Source organism: Homo sapiens, chromosome 1 (genome assembly GCF_000001405.40).
Source record: "Homo sapiens chromosome 1, GRCh38.p14 Primary Assembly".
Taxonomy (NCBI): Eukaryota; Metazoa; Chordata; class Mammalia; order Primates; family Hominidae; genus Homo; species Homo sapiens.
Genome location: NC_000001.11, coordinates 219,080,654 through 219,100,138, shown reverse-complemented (window position 1 = coordinate 219,100,138; position 19,485 = coordinate 219,080,654). Strand labels below are relative to the sequence as shown.

Here is a 19,485-nt window from a genome sequence, read left to right as displayed (position 1 = left end):
AGCTGTATATTTAGTTGAGCTTGTTTTACATTTCTACACACATAATATTGTTACTGAAAAAGCAGAGGTTCGGTTTAGGTCCTGTCGCTTGCCACACAGAAAGCCATTCACTGAGATGCCAATTATTGACAAGGAAGAACGCTTTAATTGGATGCTGCCGCTGACGAGATGGGAGCTCAGTCTCAAATCCATCTGCCTGACTGACTAAAACTATGGGTTTATATAGTAGGGAACAAATGCAACAATATGCAAGAAACAAGAACTAGGGAGGGGCAAGCAAGCAATCATAATGAATGAAGGATCTGGCATCTCATTGTCTGGATGTGGTGCTCTGGTGAGCTTCAGTTCTTTGGTACTTTGAGAGGCTTGAAGGTCATTTACTGAGGAAGGAACTCAGATCGAACAGATGTAAGGTTCAAGCTTTAAGACCATAAGAGTCAATTTCTATGTTTACCCAAACAACTATCTATGGGACTATTGGGTTGTTTTCAGCATTATATTGTATGTAGTCTTCTGAGTCTTGATGATTTTTATTGAACATAGGCTTCTGCGGTTTATATATGTTACTGCACACAGTAGAAATTTTTTTCATTTTCACTGTCATACAATATTCAAATATGTGACAGCACCACAATTTTTCATCTATTTCCTGTTAGACTCTGGGTGACTTTCAGTTTTCTGATAATATAAAGAGTACTGGTATACACATTTTACATATCTTGCAGTCATTTGAATAGTTTTTCTAGGATATATACCTAGGAGTGGAATTTCTGAGTTATGGTATATACAATGCTCAACTTTGGAAAATAATGATACACAGTTTACCAATGCAGTTGTACACATTTATGCTTTCAAAAGCAATGTATATAAATTACTCACTCCAACACTAGATGTAGTCAGACTTCTTAATTTTTGCCTATCTCTCAGATATAAAGTTTCTCATTCTTAATATTCATTTCTCTGATTGCAAATGAGAGGAAGCATCTTGTATATCTAGCAATTCCTTATCCATGAAATATATATTTGTGTCAGTTTATCTATTAATTTGTTTGTTTTTATTATTAATTTGTGGGAATTCTTTACAAATACTTAATTTGAACTCTTTGTTAATAATGTATGTTACAAATATTTTCCCTTGGTTTATGGCTGGTTTTTTACAATCTTTCTTTCACTGACATATCTTTTGCTGAACATATGTTCTTAATTTTAATGTAGTTAAGTTTATCATATTCTTTTGATTAGTGATTTTTGTATTTTATGTAAAAAGCCTTCCTTAACCAAAGGTCAGAAAGATATTCTCCTATATTTTCAACTTAATGCTGTTTTTCACATTGAATTTCTTACCTACCTAGATTTTTAAAAAATATTTTCCTTTCTGGATAATGACAATCATACTACCATTTACTGATGAGTCCCTTTCTCTACTGACCTGCAATACGTATTTGTCATATATGAATGTTTCATAAATATTGGGTCTATCTTATATTTAATTTCATTTCATTGGTGAAGTTTTCTTTCTCTGACTTGCTCAGTGTCCTACTTTGTAGTTTTAAAATAATATATCTAAATATCTGCAGGGTAATTTACTTATTTTCTTCTTTTGTTTCAGAATGTCTTGGTTATTCTTGATCCTTTGCTCTTTCACATAAACTTTATTATTAGCTTGTCAAGTTCCACTTGACTCCACTCTAGATTTGGCAAGCATTAATGTCCTTACAGTTTTAAGTCTTCTTATCCCAAAACTCATGTCTGTCTCCAAGTTCTTTTTTTTTTCTTACATTTCTTTAGCAGATTTTTATAATTTTCTGCATATAGGTACTGTCTACATTTCATTAGATTTATTCTCAGGTTTTATATAGTTTTCATTGCTGCTATGAAAATGTCACCTTTTAAAATTATATTTCCTACTGAGGACATATATTGATTTTTGCCTATTGATCTTATAGCTAGCTCTCTTGCTAAACACCCTTATGATTTCTGATTATTTGTCTTTGGATGTATTAGTCCATTTTCATACTGCTATGAAGAAACACCTGAGACTGGGTAATTTATAAAGAAAAAGAGGTTTAATGGACTCAGAGTTCCACATGGCTAAGGAGGCCTCACAGTCATGGAGGAAGGCAAAGGAGGAGAAAGGCAAGTCTTACAAGGCAGCAGGCAAGAGAGTATATGCAGAGGAACTTCTTTTTATAAAACCAATAGATCTCATGAGACTTATTTACTAACATAGAATGGCAGAGGATAACCCAACCCCATGATTCAATTACCTCCCACTGGGTCTCTCCTATGACACCTGGGGATTATGAAAGCTACAATTCAAGATGAGATTTGGTTGGAGACACAGGCAAACTATATCATTACACCCCTTGCCCCTCCCAAATCTCATGTCCTCACAATTCAAAATACAATTATGCCCTTCCAACAGTCCCCCAGAGTCTTAACTCATTTGAGCATTAACTCCAAAGTCCAAGTCCAAAGCCTATAAAATCAAAACAAGTTAGTTACTTCCTGGATACAATGAGGGTACAGGTATTGGGTAAATAGACCTGTTACAAATGGAAGAAATTAGCCAAACCAAAGGGGCAACAGGCTCCATGCAAGTCCAAAATCCATCTGGGCAGTAAAATCTTAAAGCTCCAAAATGATCTCCTTTGACTCCATGTCTCACATCCAGGTCACACTGATGTAAGAGGTGGGGTCCCACAGCCTTGGGAAGCTCCACCCTTGTGGCTTTGCAGGTTATAACCCCACTCCTGGATGGTTTCACGAGCTGGCATTGAGTGTCTGCAGCTTTTCCAGGTGCATGCATGGTGCAAGCTGTTGGTGAATCTACCATTGTGAGGTCTGGAGAATGGTGACCCTCTTCTCACAGCTTCACTAGGCAGTGCACCAGTGGGGACTCGGTGTGGGGACTCCCATCCCACATTTCCCTTCTGCACTGTCCTAGCAGAGCTTCTCCCTGAGGGTTCCTCCTGTGCAACACACCTCTGCCTGGACATCCGGCCATTTCTATACATCCTCTGAAATCTTGGAGGAGGTTCCCAAACCTAAGTTCTTGATTTCTGTGTACCCACAGGGCCAACATGACGTGTAAGCCACCAAGGCTTGGGGTCTGCACCCTCTGAAGCAACAGCCTGAGCTGTACATTGGTCCCCTTAAGGCATGGGTGGGACACAGGGCACCAAGTCTTGAGACTATACAAACCAGCAAGGCCCTGGGCCTGGCCCATGAAACCATATTTTCCTCCTAGGCCTACAGACCTGTGATGGGAGGAGATGCTGTGAAGACCTCTGACATGCCTTAGAGGCATTTTCCCCAGTGCCTTGGCAATTAATAGTTGCTTTTAAGAGCACCAAAGTCACCTCTTGCATGCTTTGCTGCTTAGAAATTTCTTCCACCAGATACCCTAAATCATCCCTCTCAAGTTCAAAATTCTACAGATCTCTAAGACAGGGAGAAAAATGCCACCAGTTTCTTTGCTAAAGCATGAGAAGAATCACATTTGTCCCAGTTCCCAGTAAGTTCCTTATGTCCATCTGAGACTACCTCAGCCTGGAATTCATCGGCCATATCACTATCAGCATTTTGGTCAAAACCATTCAACAAGTCTCTAGGAAGCTTCAAACTTTCCCACATCTCCCTGTCTTCTTCTAAGCCTTCCAAACTGTTCCAACCTCTGCCTGTTCCAAGGTTGCTTCCACATTTTCTGGTATCTTAATAGCAGTACCCCATTCTACCAGTACCAATTTGCTGTATTAGTCCATTTTCATACTGCTATGAAGATATATCTGAGACTGGGTAATTTATAAAGAAAAAGAAATTTAATGGACTTACAGTTCCACATGGCTTGGAAGACCTCACAATCATGGCAGAAGGCAAAGGAGAAGCAACCACATCTTACATGATGGCAGGCAAGAGAGTGTGTGCAGGGGAACTGCCCTTTATAAAACCATGAGATCTCATGAGACTGTTTCACTATCACAACAACAGCATGGGGAAACCAGCCCCCTTTATTCAATTACCTCCCACCAGGTCTCTCCCATGACATGTGGGGATTATGGGAGCTGCAATTCAAGAAGAAATTTGGGTGGGGACATCGCCAAACCATATCATTGGATAATCTGAGATTTTGAAAGCAACCGATATCACTTGAAAATTATGATAATTTTGAATTTTTTCCTTTCTAATTCTTATCCATTTATTTGCATTTTCTTGAATTACATGCTAACTAAACTTAAAGGAGAATGTTGAGTAAAAATTGTAATATGAAATATACTTGTATTAATTCTAAAGGGAACTCTTCTAATGCTTCTCCATACTGAAAGATGTCTCATTTTTGGTAGACATACATTATAAGACTAAGGAAGTCCTTTCTTGCTACTGTTTGGTAAGAGGTATCATCATGATGGTAGGTTAAATTTTATAAATTATTATTCTTCATATAGAATAAAACATTTCAAAATTTATTCTGTTTATTTGCTTAATGGCATTTATTGATTTTCTGATTTAAACTGCCTTGCAAGTTTGTGATAAACCCCAACTTGGTTATATGTGCTTGTATTTTTTTAGCTTGTTAAATTTAGTTTTGTAGTATTTTTAACAAAAACTTAAATCTTTTTGTGAGTGAGACTCACCCACAATTATCTTCTCTATTGTGTTTGTGTGGTTTTGATACTAGGGGAATACTGACCTTATAGAAAGAGTTGAGAAATAGCCCCTCTTTTTCCATATTCTAGAATTGCAATACAATAGAATGGCTGCTCCTTGTAAATCAACTAAACAATCTTAGTGTGATATTTTCTTTTTAGGAAGATTTTCAACCCCCAATTCATTCTCTTCAGTATACACAAGATTAATACAGGCTCTCAGTTTGTGTCTTGAGTAAGTTTGGTATGGTTTTATTTTTAGAAATTTTCTTTATCTAAATTGAAATTTATTGTTTTTATGTATTTTATTTTGCTTTCATGTTTTAAAAATCCCTGTTATGTTTGTGATATACCCACATTTTCATTTTTAAAATTTTTCATTGAGATTTCTTTATCTTTTTGATTAAGTTATCAGAGGTTTATATTTTTTATTTCAATGTAACCAACTTCTGATTTATTTATATTTCCTATTATATCTGTTTTCTGTTCATTGATTGGCATTGATACATTCATTCTATTTTTTTTAACATGACAATTACATCATTAATTTTCAGCATTTATCTTTTTCAAAAAATAAGCACTTTAAAGCTATAAATTTTTCCTCAAAATATCAATTCTGCTTTATCTCTTGCTTTGATATTTTCATTCTTATCTAAGTATTTTATAATTCCTATTATGGTTAATTTTTTATGAGGTATCTTAACTTATCAATGGTTTTCTATTTTCTATTTTTATTTTTTAGGAATGCATAGTAGGTATATATGTTTATGGGGCATATCAGACATTTTGATAAAGGAATACAATGGGTAATAATCACATCAAGGTAAATGGAGTATCATCATCTCAAGCATTTATTACTTTGTTGTGTTACAAACATTCCAGTTATACTCTTATGATATTTAAAAATGTACAAATTATTGACTATAGTCATCATGCTGTGCTATCAAATACTAGATCTTATTCATTCTAACTATATTTTTGTACTCATTTCCTTCCCAACCTCTGGTAACGATTATTTTACTCTCTATTACCATGAGTTAAATTGTTTTAAGTTTCAACTATCAAAAATAAGGGAGAACATGTGAAGTTTGTCTTTTGGTGATTGGCTTGTTTCATTTAACATAATGTTCCATCCATATCTTGGCAAATGACAGGATCTTATTTTTTAAGGCTGAATTATACTTCATTGTGTATGTGTACCACATTTTCTATGTCCATTTGCCTGTTGATGGAAACTTAGGTTGCTTCTAAATTTGAATATTGTGAATAGTGCAGCAATACATATGGGAGTACAGAAATATCTTCAACACACTGATTTCATTTTCTTTGGATAAATATTCAGAAGGGGAACTGCTGGATCATTTAGTAGTTCTATATTTAGTTTTTTGAAGAACCACCATACTGTTCTCTATAGTGGCTAAACCCATGTACATTCTCACCAATGGTGTTTGAGGATTCCCTTTTCTCCACATCCTTGCCAGCATTCATTATTGCCTTTATTTTGGATAAAAGCCATTTTAAGTGGGATAAGATGATATTTGATTTGCATTTATTTGATGATCAGTGATGTTGAGCATCTTTTCACATACCTATTTGCCATTTATATGTCTTCTTTTGAGAAATGACTATTTGGACATTTTGCCCATTTTTAAATTGGATTATTAGATTTTTTTCCAATTGTTTGAGCTCCTTATATATTCTGGTTATAAATTCCTTGACAGATGGATAGTTTGAAAATTTTTCTCCCATTCTGTGGGTTGTCTCTTCACTTTGTTAAATTTTTTTTCTGTGCAGACGCTTTTTAACTTGATGTGATCCCATTTGCCCATTTTTGCTATGGTTATCTCTGTTTTTGAGGTGTTATTCAAGAAACCTTTGCCCAGACCAATGTCCTGTGGAGTTTTCCCAATGTTTTCTTTTGATAGTTTAATAGTCTTAGGTCTTAGATTTAGCTCTTTAATACATTTTGATTTGATTTTTGTAGATGATGAAAAATAGGGTTCTAGCTTCATTCTTCTGCCTATAGACGTCTAGTTTTCCTAGCACAATTTATTTAAGAGATTGTCTTTCTCCACTGTATGTTCTTGGCGCCTTTGTCAAAAATAAATTCAACATAGCTGTATGGATTTGTTTCTGATTTATCTATTCTGTTTCTTTGGTCTATGTGTCTGTTTTTATGCCAGTACCATGCTGTTTTGGTTACTATAGCTCTATAGAATAATTCAAAATCAGAGAATGTGCTTCCTCTCATTTTGTTCTTTTTGCTCAGAATGACTTTGGCTATTCTGGGTCTTTTGTGATTTCACATGAATTTTGGAATGATTTTTTTCTATTAATGTGAAGATTGTATTGGTATTTTAATAATGATTGCACTGAATCTGTAGATTACTTTGAATAGTGCAGACATTTTAACAATATTGATTCTTCCAATCCATGAGCATAGAGTATCTTTTCATTTTTTTCTGGTCTCCTCAATGTCTTGCATCAATGTTTTATAGAGTGCATTGTAGATATCTTTAAATTCTTTAGTTAAATTCATTTCTAGGTATGTTATTTTATTTGTAGCTATTGTAACTGGGATTACTTTCTTGATTTCTTTTTCAGATTGTTCACTGATGTAATATGTAAATACTATTGATTTTTATATGTTGATTTTGTATCCCTCAACTTTGCTGAATTTGTTTATTGGTTCTAATAGATTTTTGTTAAGGTCTTTAGGTATTTTTCAGATATAAGACCATATCATCTGCAAACAAAGATGACTTACTTCTTTTCAATTTGGATGTTCTTTATATCTTTTTCTTGTCTGATTGCTCTAACTAGAACTTCCAGTACTATGTTGAATAATAGTGGTGAAAGTGGATGTTTCGGTTTGTTCCAGATCTTAGAGAAAAAGTTTTCAGTTTTTCTGTATTCAGTGTGATGCTAGCTGTGTGTCTGTCATATATGGTTTTTATTGTGTTGAGATATATACTTCTATACCACATTTTTAGGGCTTTTATTATGAAAGGAGGTTGAATTTTATCTAATGCTTTTTACCTTCGGTTGAAATGATTGCATGTTTTTGTCCTTCATTCTTTTGAAATGATATATCACATTGATTTATTTGCATTTGCTGAATCATTCTTGCATCCCTGGCATAAATCCCTCTTGGTCATGATGAATTATCTTTTAAATGTGTTGTTGAATTTGGTTTGTGAGTATTTTGTTGAGGATTTTTGCATCAGTATTCATGTGGAACATTGGCCTGTAGTTTTCTTATTTTGATGTCTCTGTCTGATTTTGGTATCAGGGTAATACTGGCCTCACAGAATGAGTAAGGAAGTATTTGCTTCTTTATTTTTTTGGAATTGTTTGAATAGGATTAGATTAATATTAGTTCTTTAAATTTTGGGTGAAATTTAGCAGTTGAAGGCTTTGGGTCTCTGATTTTTCTTTACTGGGATACTTTTTAATATGGTGTTGAACTCATTACTTGTTATTGGTCTATTTAGATTTTGGAAATCTTCATGATTCGGTCTTGGTAGGTTGTATGTGTCTAGGATTCAATCTATTTCTTCTAGGTTTTCCAATTTACTGGCATGTAGTTGCTCATAGTAGTCTCTAATGATTCTCTGAACTGCAGTATCAGTTGTAATACCTCCTTTTTATCTCTCATTTTATTTATTTGGGTCTTCTATCTTTATGTCTTTGGCTAAATGTTTATCAATTTTATTTTTTTAAAATAAGCCACCTTTTTGTTTAATTGATATTTTGTATTGTTTGTTTTGTTTCAATTTCATTTATTTCTGCTTTGATCTTTATTATTTCTTTTCTCCTACTAATATTGGCTTTGGTTTGCTCTTTGTTTTCTAGTTCTTTAAGATGCATCATTAGGTTGTTAATTTGAGGATTATCTGCTTTTTTGATGTGGAGTGCTTATTGCTATAAGCTTTCTTCTTAGTATTGCTTTTGCTGCATTCCATAGGTTTTGATATATTGTGTTTCCATTTTTGTTTGTTTCAAGGAATTTTTAAATTTTATTCTTAATTTCTTCATTGACCCACTGGTCACTCTAGAGCATATTGTTTATTTTCCATGTGTTTGTATAGTTTCTGATATTTTTCTAATTATTTATTTCTAGTTTTATTCCATTGAGAATAAAACTGGAAAGATGAGACACTTGATATTTTTTCAATTTTTTAATTTTTTAAGACTTGTTTTTTGTTCTAACATGTGATCTATCCTTAAGAATGAGCCATGCCTTGAGGAGAAGAACGTGTATTCTGCAGCTCTTAAATGAAAGATTGTGTAAATATATATTAGGTCCATTTGGTATATAATGTAGATTAAGTCCAATGTTGTTGTTGGTGGTGGTTTTCTGTGTAGTGGTTCTGTCCAATGCTGAAAGTGGGGTGTTGAAGTCTCCAGCTAATATTGTATTAGGGTCTATCTCTCTCTTTAGCTCTAATAATATTTACTTAATATGTTTGAGTGTTCCAGTGTTGAATGTATATATATTTACAAGTGTTACACCCTCTTGCTAAGTTGACTTCTTTATCATTATATAATGACCTTCTTTGTCTCTGTTTATAGTTTTTGTTTTGAAATCTATTTTGTCTGATGTAAATATAGCTACTTCTGCTTTTTTTGTTTCCATTTTCATGCAATATTTTTCAGTTCCTATATTTTAAGTCTAAGTTAGTCTTTATAAGTGAAGCGTGTTTCTTATAGTTACCAGATTGTTAGAGCTTGTTTTTTTATTATTGTTATTGTTCAGGCTCTCTATGTCTTGTGATTGGAGAGTTTAGTCCATTTACATTCAATGTTATTATTAGTAAGTAAGGACTTACTACTGCCATTTTGTTATTTGTTTTCTGGGTGTTTTATGTGTGCTCTTCTCTTTCTTCCTTCCTTCTTCCCTGTATTCCTTTTTGGGAAGTTAATTTTTTTTGGTGGGTTGTTTTAATTTACTGATTTTCAGTTTTTTGTGTATCTGTTGTAGGTTTTATGATTTGAGGTGACCATGAGGTTTGGAAATAACATCTTAGAACTCATTATTTTAAACTGATCACAACTTAGCACTGGATACAAAACAATCCAAACTCACAACAACGAAAGAGAAAACTAATAAAAGCTCTACACTTTAACTTAATCCCCCTGCTTTCTAACTTTTTGTTGCTTCCATCTACGTTTTATTATACTATGTCTTAAAAGTTGTAGTTATTATTTTTGATAGGTTTATCTTTTAGTCTTCGTATTCAAGATATCAATAGTTCACGTACCACAATTACAGTGTTATAATATTGTGTGTTTGTTTGTGTACTTACTATTACCAGTGAGTTTTGTACCTTCAGATGACTTCCTATTGCTCATTAGTGTCCTTTCATTTTAGATTGAACAGCTCCCTTTAGCATTTCTTGTAGGGCAGTTCTGGTGTTGATGAAATCCCTCAGCTTTTGTTTGTCTGGGAAAGCCTATTTCTTCTTCATGTTTAATGGGTATTTTCACTGGGTGTACTCTTCTAGGATAAAAGTCTTTTTTCCTTCAGCACTTTAAATATGTAATGCCACTCTCTCCTAGATTGTAAGGTATGTTATTTGTGTCTTTTCTCTTGCTGCTTTTAGAATCCTTTCTTTATCCTTGACCTTTGGAAGTTTGATTATTAAATGTCTTGAGGTAGTTTTATTTGGATGAAATCTACTTGATGTTCTACAACCCATCTATACTTGAATTTTGATATATTTCTCTAGGTTTGAAAAGTTATCTGTTATTATCTCTTTGAATAAAATTTATACCTTGATCTCTGTACCTCCTCTTTAAGGCCAGTAAATCTTAATTTGCCCTTTTGAGATATTTTCTAGAACTTATAGGCAAGCTTCATTCTTTTCTATTCTTTTGTTTCTTTTGACTGTGTATTTTCAAATAGCCTGATTCTTTCTTCTGCTTGATCAGTTCTGCTGTTGGGAGACTCTGATGCATTCTTCTGTATGTCAATTCAATTTTTCAGCTCAGAATTTCTACATGTTTCAAAAATTATTTCAGTATCTTCGTTAAATTTATCTGATAGGATTCTGAATTCCTTCTCTGTGTTATCTTAAATTTCATTGAGCTTCCTCAAAATTTCTATTTTGAATTTTCTGTCACTCTTGGATTGATCAGTGGTGACTTTTTCAGTTTGTTTAGTGAGGTCATGATTTCCTGAATGGTCCTGATGCTTTTGGATGTTTGTGAGTGTCTGGGCATTGAATAGTTAGATATTTATTGTAATATTTGCAGTCTGCACTTGCTTGTACTCCTCTTGTGGAGGGGTGATGCAAGCTCCACTGTGACTACCACACTGAGACTGTGCTGAGTCACACCCAAAGATAGCACAGCACTGGGTCTTGCTCAAGACCCATGGTGACCACTGCCTAGTTACTGCCAGCGGAAGGAAGGAGTCTCCCCCAGGTTACTGAGCTGCACTGCCTGGGTTGGGGGAGGGGTGATGCAAGCACTCCCTTGTCCACCTGGCTGGTGTCTCATTAGGTCAACCCAAGTCTACTGCCTTCTAGCCCAGCACGCACCAAGACTTGCCCAGGAATTGCAGTCCTTGTCGCCTAGACTGCCTTTGAGGTTTATGTAGTATCCCAGAGTGCTTTGGCCCATGGTAGTGGGGCTAGCCAGAACTCTAGTTCCAACCACTGGGAAGGGCAATTCCTCTCTTGCTGGGACGGATATAAGGACTCCCTCCATGGGCACTGGCTGAGTTCTGCCTTATCTTGTTTTCTACTGTGGCTGGGCTGCACTGAGTTCCAATGCAAAGTCCCACATCACTGCACTCTCTCCCCCACAAGAACACAGATCCTCTCCGCAGCATCAGCAATTCAAGACTATCTTTCCTAACCTCTTCAATGCCTCTTTCTTTGATATGATGTTAGAACCTGGTACTGTGATCACTCACTTGATTTTTGGTTCTCATAAAAGTGCTTTCTTGTGTGGATAGTTGTTCGATTTAGTGTTCCTGTAGGGGGACTATTGTTGGAGAGTTCTATTAGGCCAACCTGCTCTGTGTCTTCCCCTATAGTTTCTTTTTGACTCAGTTACATTCAAATTTATTTTTTACACTTTATAGAAATATTAGGGAGGTTAAAATTTATCCTTTATTTACTGAGCTCTAATTTAACAGAATTGAAATTGTGGTCAGAGAATGTATTATGTTTGACACTAAGTCTTTGAAATTTATTGAGATTTGCTTTAAAGCCTAGTGATATGCTTAATATCCCATTCTATTCCTATGTGGAGGAATCATAAGGTGAGAGACAGACCCTCTCTTTCAATATGTAGCACAAGGGTTCTTATTTATCCTCTGGACAATAGCATACAGATACATGTCTCAAGTTTATCTAGTAAGATTCTCTTGCCTGTAGCTTTGAATAATGAGGGTTAGAGATTTTTCCCAGCCAATGTGGAAGGTTTGAGAGACTACTGGTGTGGCAGCAAGAATCCAGTAGCAGCAGTATCAATTCCTATGTCCTAAGCAGACTTCAGGCTCATAACCTGCTTTCCTTATTTTTCTGCCAGAGTCTAATTCTCAACTGTTGATTAATTCTCTAAGTTATTGATATCTTGCCAATACATTCCTTTTCTGATTAATGTAACCAAAGTCAGTTTCTGTTGCTTAGAACTCAGAATTCTGACAACTGTGAAACACAATGCTTCTGAGGGAATTACAGCATATTACTTTTTGCTTTATTTTATTTAATCTTCTGTTTCTCTCCTCAGGAAGTGTTATTTATTATCCTCATTTAACAGATAGGAAAACTGGGGATTCAATATTTGAAGCACTTTATTCAATACCACACAGCCTGTAAAGTGTGAAACCAGAATTCAAGCCAGCTCTGCCTGATTCTTGAACTGCTACTCTTTAAGCCTTCCAGATATTCAATGGGTGATTTTAAACCTTTCTTTCTGACCCTAATATTCTATGAACTGAAGAATAAATACAGATTGCCAAGTATAAATCAGGAATAGCTTAGGTACTGAGAGGTCAAACTCTAGAAGCCACAAATATTCATATATTCTTAAGTTTTAATTGAGAAAAGTACTTCTCCTAGGCTTTTTACTTCATATACTCTGTGAGATGAATTTTTAGAAACTGACCTTCTCTTATTCACTGCCCCAACTCTGCAAATTTGCCACACGTGCCTTGGCAACATGAACCACCATAACACAGAGGGGCTGGTGACTTAACATACTTTGTCATCCCCCTGGCATAACAGAGGGGTTCTTTTAGGTCATGGGCCACTTTTCTTCTTGTAGGTTTATTGAAAGTTTGTGTGTTCATGCTCATTAAGTAACTTCTAGCAACCTTGGCTAAATAAGTTGGTAAAAGGCTGAACTCATAGTCAGTATTGCTTCATAATACACACATGCAGAGCTCATAATATATGTGACAGTTGATTCACTTAAATCACCTAATTAACTTTTTGCAGTCTTGTATAAATATAATAAAGTAGCTATAGAAATGAAAGATGTTTTCAAGTTAAATTTAACTCCACTGAACTCATAGAATCAGAGTTAACTTATATTTCATTTTAGGTGATTTTAGAGAAAGTTGTTTTAAAGGCAAAACATTCTTAAAAGACTGAATTTGTTTCTACCCCCATTTTTCTTAATTACTTTCATGAAAAACCTATTGATTTTATAATCTATTAATTTGCAGTAGAGAAACTGTGCTCTTTTGTTGATGTAGAACTAATAACGTACATAAATGTTTATAACTTTTAACCTCATCTTAAATATTTTTTGTTTTAAATCACACATAGCTGGCATTTTAAGGTATTTCTTGTTTTTTTTTTTCCCCACTTGCAGAATGCTTTGATGTCTTAAATGGTACATCCAAACTTAAGTGAAATAGAGCTGTGAGGACATTTTGGGGAGAAGTGACCTAGATAAGCACTGACTGTTGCATTCATCTCTCTTCTTGCTGATTGTGATGATTTCCTGTGCCATAGCCATTCAAAGTCTGCCAAAAAAGGTAAGTAATTAGGGTCTCACAAATAGTATCCAGGTACAAAAATGAAATTAAACTATCTCTGGGAACAGGAGTTTGCTTTTTGAGAGGAGCAAAATAAAACAGAGTTAAGGAAGAAGTGTTAATTTTAGCTGTCACATACCAGTTGAACAATTCTGATAGTGATACTGTTGTTTTCCAGGTGAGTAAAAGAGTCATGGAAATTAGCATACAACATAAAAATCTGTAGAAATCAAGGGAGATGTGTTACAAGAGTGGCCTAAGGAAATCCATCTGGGGATGAACAACAGGAATTCCTCATTTGGACTGCTTCTGTTATTACTCACTCAGAGACTAGAGGAAATTGTTAGATTGTCTGTGGTGTCCTTTATCTATCCTAAAATGTAGAAAGTGAAGTAGGGAAGGATGAGGAGTTGATATGCAGAAGAGGAAGCTGAAATAACCTTCCCTCAATTATTTTTCTTAAAATTGGCCTCTGAAGGGAACCCGAATGTTTAGGCATTATTTCACTCTGTCTTACACTCTATTTGTGACAGATAAATGAAATGGTAGACTGTCCATTCTTTGGCTAATGTCAGCAGCCAAATTAATCAAACTGTGGGAAGTTGCTGATATATTTATATGAAAATAACTTTAAAAAAGGCCCAATTGTACACCTGGTTTGTTTCATGGTTCAGGCTGAATATATTTATCTGATATATCATGTGATAATATTAGTAACGAAAGCCCCTAAATTAGCAAGTGGTTTGCCTACATCTCCAAGTCCTTTTTCTTTCCATCCTATGCCACTGATATTCCACCTGAATTGGGGAAATTAATTATCAAAAAGTGCCTATTTGTTTCCATCTTCTTTCTTATTCAAATACTATTTATTTTAAATTACTGTTTACTAATTAATGCTAAATAAATGTAATGCACTGTTAGCTAACCAGAGATTTATAAATAACTTTATTTCTTCATTTTCTCCCTGGGTTTTCTGCTATTTATTATTATTTAAGTTTTAGTGCTTTGAGAGTACAGCCGGCATTTCAACAGCACTTTCCTCTAATGCTTAATCCTAACTCATAACAGAAATATGTATTAAAAGCTTGAGTACATGCATATAAAGAGGAAACATTTTTCTCAACCATCAACACTTCACATTAAATCTTTGGAATATTTAGTGCCTTATCGTCATTTTAATTCTTATTCTGAGTCACAGACAGCATGAACTGAGTTTACAGGGTAATCACTGCGGTAACATTTTCTTCCTCTAGATTATCTTTCCTGGGATTAATTATATTGAGATCACTGCCCTGAGTCATAGTCTTCTGTATTTTAATAGGGTATCAGGCATGGTTCAGATAAAGAAACTTTATTGGGGCTATTTTTGTATCCTCTGTGGATTGGATGAAGATGGAATGTTCTTTGAAGAAATTGTGAGGAAGAAAGAACACAGTTTTCTCCATTACTATTTAACTTAACAGAAATTTTGATCAGTTGGATTTTAAAATCCATATTTCAAAACTTTCTTAAAAGTTTGCATACTTTAAATTCAACATTTTAAAAATTAAAATTAAAAATAAAGTATGTGTGTATGTATATATTCCTTAAATAATTTTGATAAAAATTTTGTTTATATTTGTCTAGGTTTTTTGAAGTATAAATTATATTATAGTATTATTTTAATCTCTCAGATGAATGCTTTTTTATGTACCAGGTAATTTTCTCGGTACTGAGATACATCAGCAGATAAAAAACCAAGAACATGTTAAATATCTGTTCTCCTGGAAGGTATAGTCTATGACAAACGGGGGAGGCTGAAAAATAAATAAACAAGTATATGGATATTATGTCAGATGCTAATGAGTGCTGTGAAAGCAGGAGAACCCAGCAGGGTTAGAGGAATAGGGAATGTGTACGTGTGTTTTTTTATTTTTTCTTTTTTGTTGGGTTGCCATGGAAGGTAACAGAGTACTAAGGCAAATTAGAGAGTGAATGGTTCACGTAATACACACAAAATGGAGGAAATAGCAAGACTGAAGTGTCTGTGGTGGTATCTTGCTTAGTATTCCAAGGAACAATAAGCAGCCTAATATGACTGGAGTGAAGTGGGTTAACAGGAAAGTATTAATAGATAAGAGATGAGGACAAAGAGTTATCAGGGGGTCAGATTTGCAGGCCCTTTTAGGTGCATGTGAAGGACTGGGTTCTGTACTTAATGAGATGGAAAGCCATTGAGAGTGACATGATCTGATTTAAATTTTAAGAGAATCACTATGGCTGTCTGCCATGGGGAAAAAAGTGGTGTATGTATCTTTCCATATTTTGGTATAATAGGGAGTTAGGCGCTCTAGAAAATGTATCTTAAACTATAAAATCAGAGAATGAAATAATTACTCAAGCCAGTCCTCTTATTTAATGTTCTAACCTAAATCACTACTAATTACAAGCAGAATTTATTTTTGCATGAAGCCTTTTGTATGATCACTCTTCAAATATAAACACAGAAAAATGCCTCATATAATACCATGTAAATTAATTAAGAAAAAATATAGTGAATCTCAAAAGGAAGAAAGGAAATCACTAAGTGCCAGAAACAAATAAAGAACTCAGTTCCAAAAGGAACCTTGAAGTGATACCCTAGCAGTTCATAAGACTGTCAGATGCAGCCTTGAGTCCCTCCAGGATAGTGGATTAGAAAAAATATCTTTGAAGATTTTGAAGACAGCCCTAGCGAAATGCAAAAACAATCTTACAGACTTCCCAGGCTCTGGAAGTAGCTATAAATCATCTCCTGAGAGAAAAGTCAAGAACCCAAGCTGCACCAAAAGTATGTGGTCAAAATTTGTAGTAATACATAAAGCAGGAATAATAAGCTTTGAAATTCATTTTTAAAAACTGGTCTGATACCAGAGGAATCTTCTGTACTGAGGCAAAACAATAAAACCTCAATAACTCTATAAAGAAAATTCTGCATCCCTGGATGTTTGGGACACACAAAGGAAAAAATAAATCACCCACTGAAAGTGATCTCTCTTTGTGCATATACAACTTATTTATTTTTTACAGAGACACAATCTATAGAGAGAGTTAACAGAGGAAAGCAGTCACCAACTGAAGATAATATGTCACATGTATACATATACAGACACAGATGCGCACGCACACACACACACACAAGTTTTTTTTAGAGAGACACAATTTTGAGAGAGAGAGTAGGCAGAGAAAAGCATGAAAATAACATACTAAAAACAGAGATAATAGAACAATTTGGAAGAGATTAATAAGTATGTTCATAGTTCTTCAACAAAATATAAAATTATCAAAATATTTGAAGAAGAAATAATAACCTAATGTAATGACAGATCATAAACACTAAAGAACAAAATGAAACTATTAGAAATAAAAGTAATATAGTCATTGCTAAAACAAAACCCTGGGGAGGAGGTGGAGTAAGATAGCCGAATAGGACCCTCCAGCAATTGTCTTCCCCACAGGAACACCAAATTAAACAACTGTCTACACAAGAAAAAGTCTTCACAGGAACCAAAAATCAGATGAGTGATCATTGTACATAGTTTTGACATCATATCAAGGAAAGAGGCACTGAAGAGGGTAGGAAAGACAATCTCGAACAGCCAACACCACCCCAACTCCATCCATCAGCAGCAGCTATATGGAATGGAGAGAGAATATGTGTGCTTGCAGGAGAGACAGCTCAGTGATTGTGGGACTTTGCATTGGAATTCAGTTCTGCCTGCCACAGTGGAAAGCAACATGTGCAGAACTCAACCAGCAACCACAGAGGGAACATTTAGACCAGCCATAGCCAAAGGAAAATAATCCATGCCAGCGTTTGGAACCTAGGTTCCTGCTATTACCACCACTGCAGGCTAACGCTCTCTGGGGTCCTAAATAAACTTGAAAAGCAGTCTAGGCCCCAAGGACTGCAATTCCTGTGCAAGTTTTGGTGCTGTGCTGGGCTCAGAGCCAGTGAACTTGGGGTGCACACAACCTAGTAAGACACCAGCTAGGGTGGCTAAGGGAGTGCTTGTGTCACCCTCCCACAGCCCCAGGAAGCGCAGCTCACAGCTCCTTCTTCCCACTTGAAGAGAGAAGAGGGAAGAGAGTAAAGAGGACATTGTCTTGCAACTTGGATACCAGCTCAACTACAGTATAATAGGCCACCAGACAAATTCCTGAGGCCCCTATTTTAGGCCCTAACTTCCAAATGACATTTCTAGACACACCCTGGGCCAGAAAGGAACCCTCTGCATTGAAGGGAAAGACCCTGTACTTGCAGGATACATCACCTGCTGACTAAACAGCATTTGAGCCTTGAAAAAACATGAGTGGTAACAAGGAAGTACTCACCACAGGCCTTGGGTGACACCCAATGCTGTGTTGGTTTCAGGTGTGACCTAGTATATTCCCAGCTGTGGTGGCCACGCAGAGAGACTCCTGCTTGAGGAAAGGAGAGGGAAGAGTAAAGACGAGTTTGTCTTGCATCTTGGGTATCAGGTCAGTAAAAAACAAACAAACAAAAAAAACAACGGGCTTCTTTTGTTCCAGGCCTTGCCTCCTGGATGGCATTTTTGAACCCACCCTGGGCCAGAGGGGAGCCCACTTCTTTGAAGACAGAAACACAGGACTGGCAACATTTACCATAAGCTGACTGAGCAGCCATTGGGCCTTGAGTGAACATTGGTGGTAGCCAGGCAGTACTTGTCTCAGTACTTGCCTCAGGCCTGGGGTGTCGGTGACCACAGGGAGAGCATCCATCTGCTTGAGGAAAGGAGAACAAAGAAAATAAAGGGCTTAATCTTGCACTTGATTGCCAGCTCAGCCATAGTAGAATACAGCACCAAGTAAATTCCTAAGGATCCTGATTCCAGGTCCTGGCTCCCAGATGACATTTTAGGACTTGTCTTGGGCTTAGGGGGAGCTCGTCATACTGAAGGGAAAAACACAAGCCTGGCTGGATTTGCCACCAGCTGAATAAAGAGTGCTTGGGCCTTGAGTGAACATTGGCAATAGCCAAGGAGTGGTCACCATGGACCTTAGGCAAGAAACCCGGTGCCGTGCTGGCTTTGGATCTGACCCAGCATAATCTCACTGGTATTTTACTTCTTGTCCATTTACTTTTTAGTTTATCATACACACCATGTTTACTAGTACTAAAACTGTCTTAAAATATTGCAATTTTGACCCTTTTTCTAATTGACCTTTATGTTTTTACAAGCACATTTTATTACATATGAATGAGACTTTACTATGTTATATGTAACTCTTAATTCTGTAAATAATAGATTGCTTATCTGAAATATAGCTGATATTTGTTTCTTAATTATTTGGCTATTCCCTATATGTTATACTCTACTAAAGATCATGGGATTTAGATTCAGAAAACTTACTTCCTAGCTCTTATTATTTCTGTGATCTTGCAAAAGAAAACAAAAATGAACCATTGTTTTTTTATCTGTAACAGGAAATGTACTTCACAGGATTGTAATGAGAATTAAATTAGATAATATACATGAAAATCACTTCTGAATTGTCAAGTAATTTGTTAATACTGTCACTATTATCCAGATGTTTGGTAGACTTAAATGGTTTGCCTTTGCCTGTATACTGAGTAAAGAAGCAGCATTTTGGCATTACCAGTTCCAAAACCCAAAACGATACAGAAATCCCGTAACAGAAAATTAAACAGTCTAACCTGGATTCCTCCTACCCCCCTGCCCACCACCTTCATGCTGTGATTCCCAAGATGATTGGAGGGAAAATGCCAGAAACAGATCCATAAACTGCCCATGAGACATACTATAAACAGAAAATGAACCCGTCTTATGTCAGGGCAGG

The 19,485-nt window shown here is 35.6% G+C and overlaps 1 long non-coding RNA gene across 1 annotated transcript in view, besides 2 other annotated features; it reads left to right on the top strand.

Moving 5' to 3' along the window:
* Positions 1 to 19,166, top strand: part of LYPLAL1-DT (LYPLAL1 divergent transcript) — a 92,816-nt gene extending 73,650 nt beyond the window's left edge. Inside the window, exons 4-5 of the long non-coding RNA NR_038845.1 lie at positions 13,479 to 13,644; positions 18,196 to 19,166. This is a non-coding gene — a long non-coding RNA (LYPLAL1 divergent transcript). The remainder of the gene's footprint in view (positions 1 to 13,478; positions 13,645 to 18,195) is intronic.
* Positions 10,868 to 10,917: an enhancer, noted in NCBI's record as "active region_2542". NCBI's record gives its function as "activates an Ori minimal core promoter by ATAC-STARR-seq in GM12878 lymphoblastoid cells {active_cell/tissue: GM12878}" and the evidence as "EXISTENCE:reporter gene assay evidence [ECO:0000049][PMID:35858748]".
* Positions 17,839 to 17,908: a silencer, noted in NCBI's record as "silent region_1820". NCBI's record gives its function as "represses an Ori minimal core promoter by ATAC-STARR-seq in GM12878 lymphoblastoid cells {active_cell/tissue: GM12878}" and the evidence as "EXISTENCE:reporter gene assay evidence [ECO:0000049][PMID:35858748]".
* Positions 19,167 to 19,485: the final 319 nt, after the last annotated feature.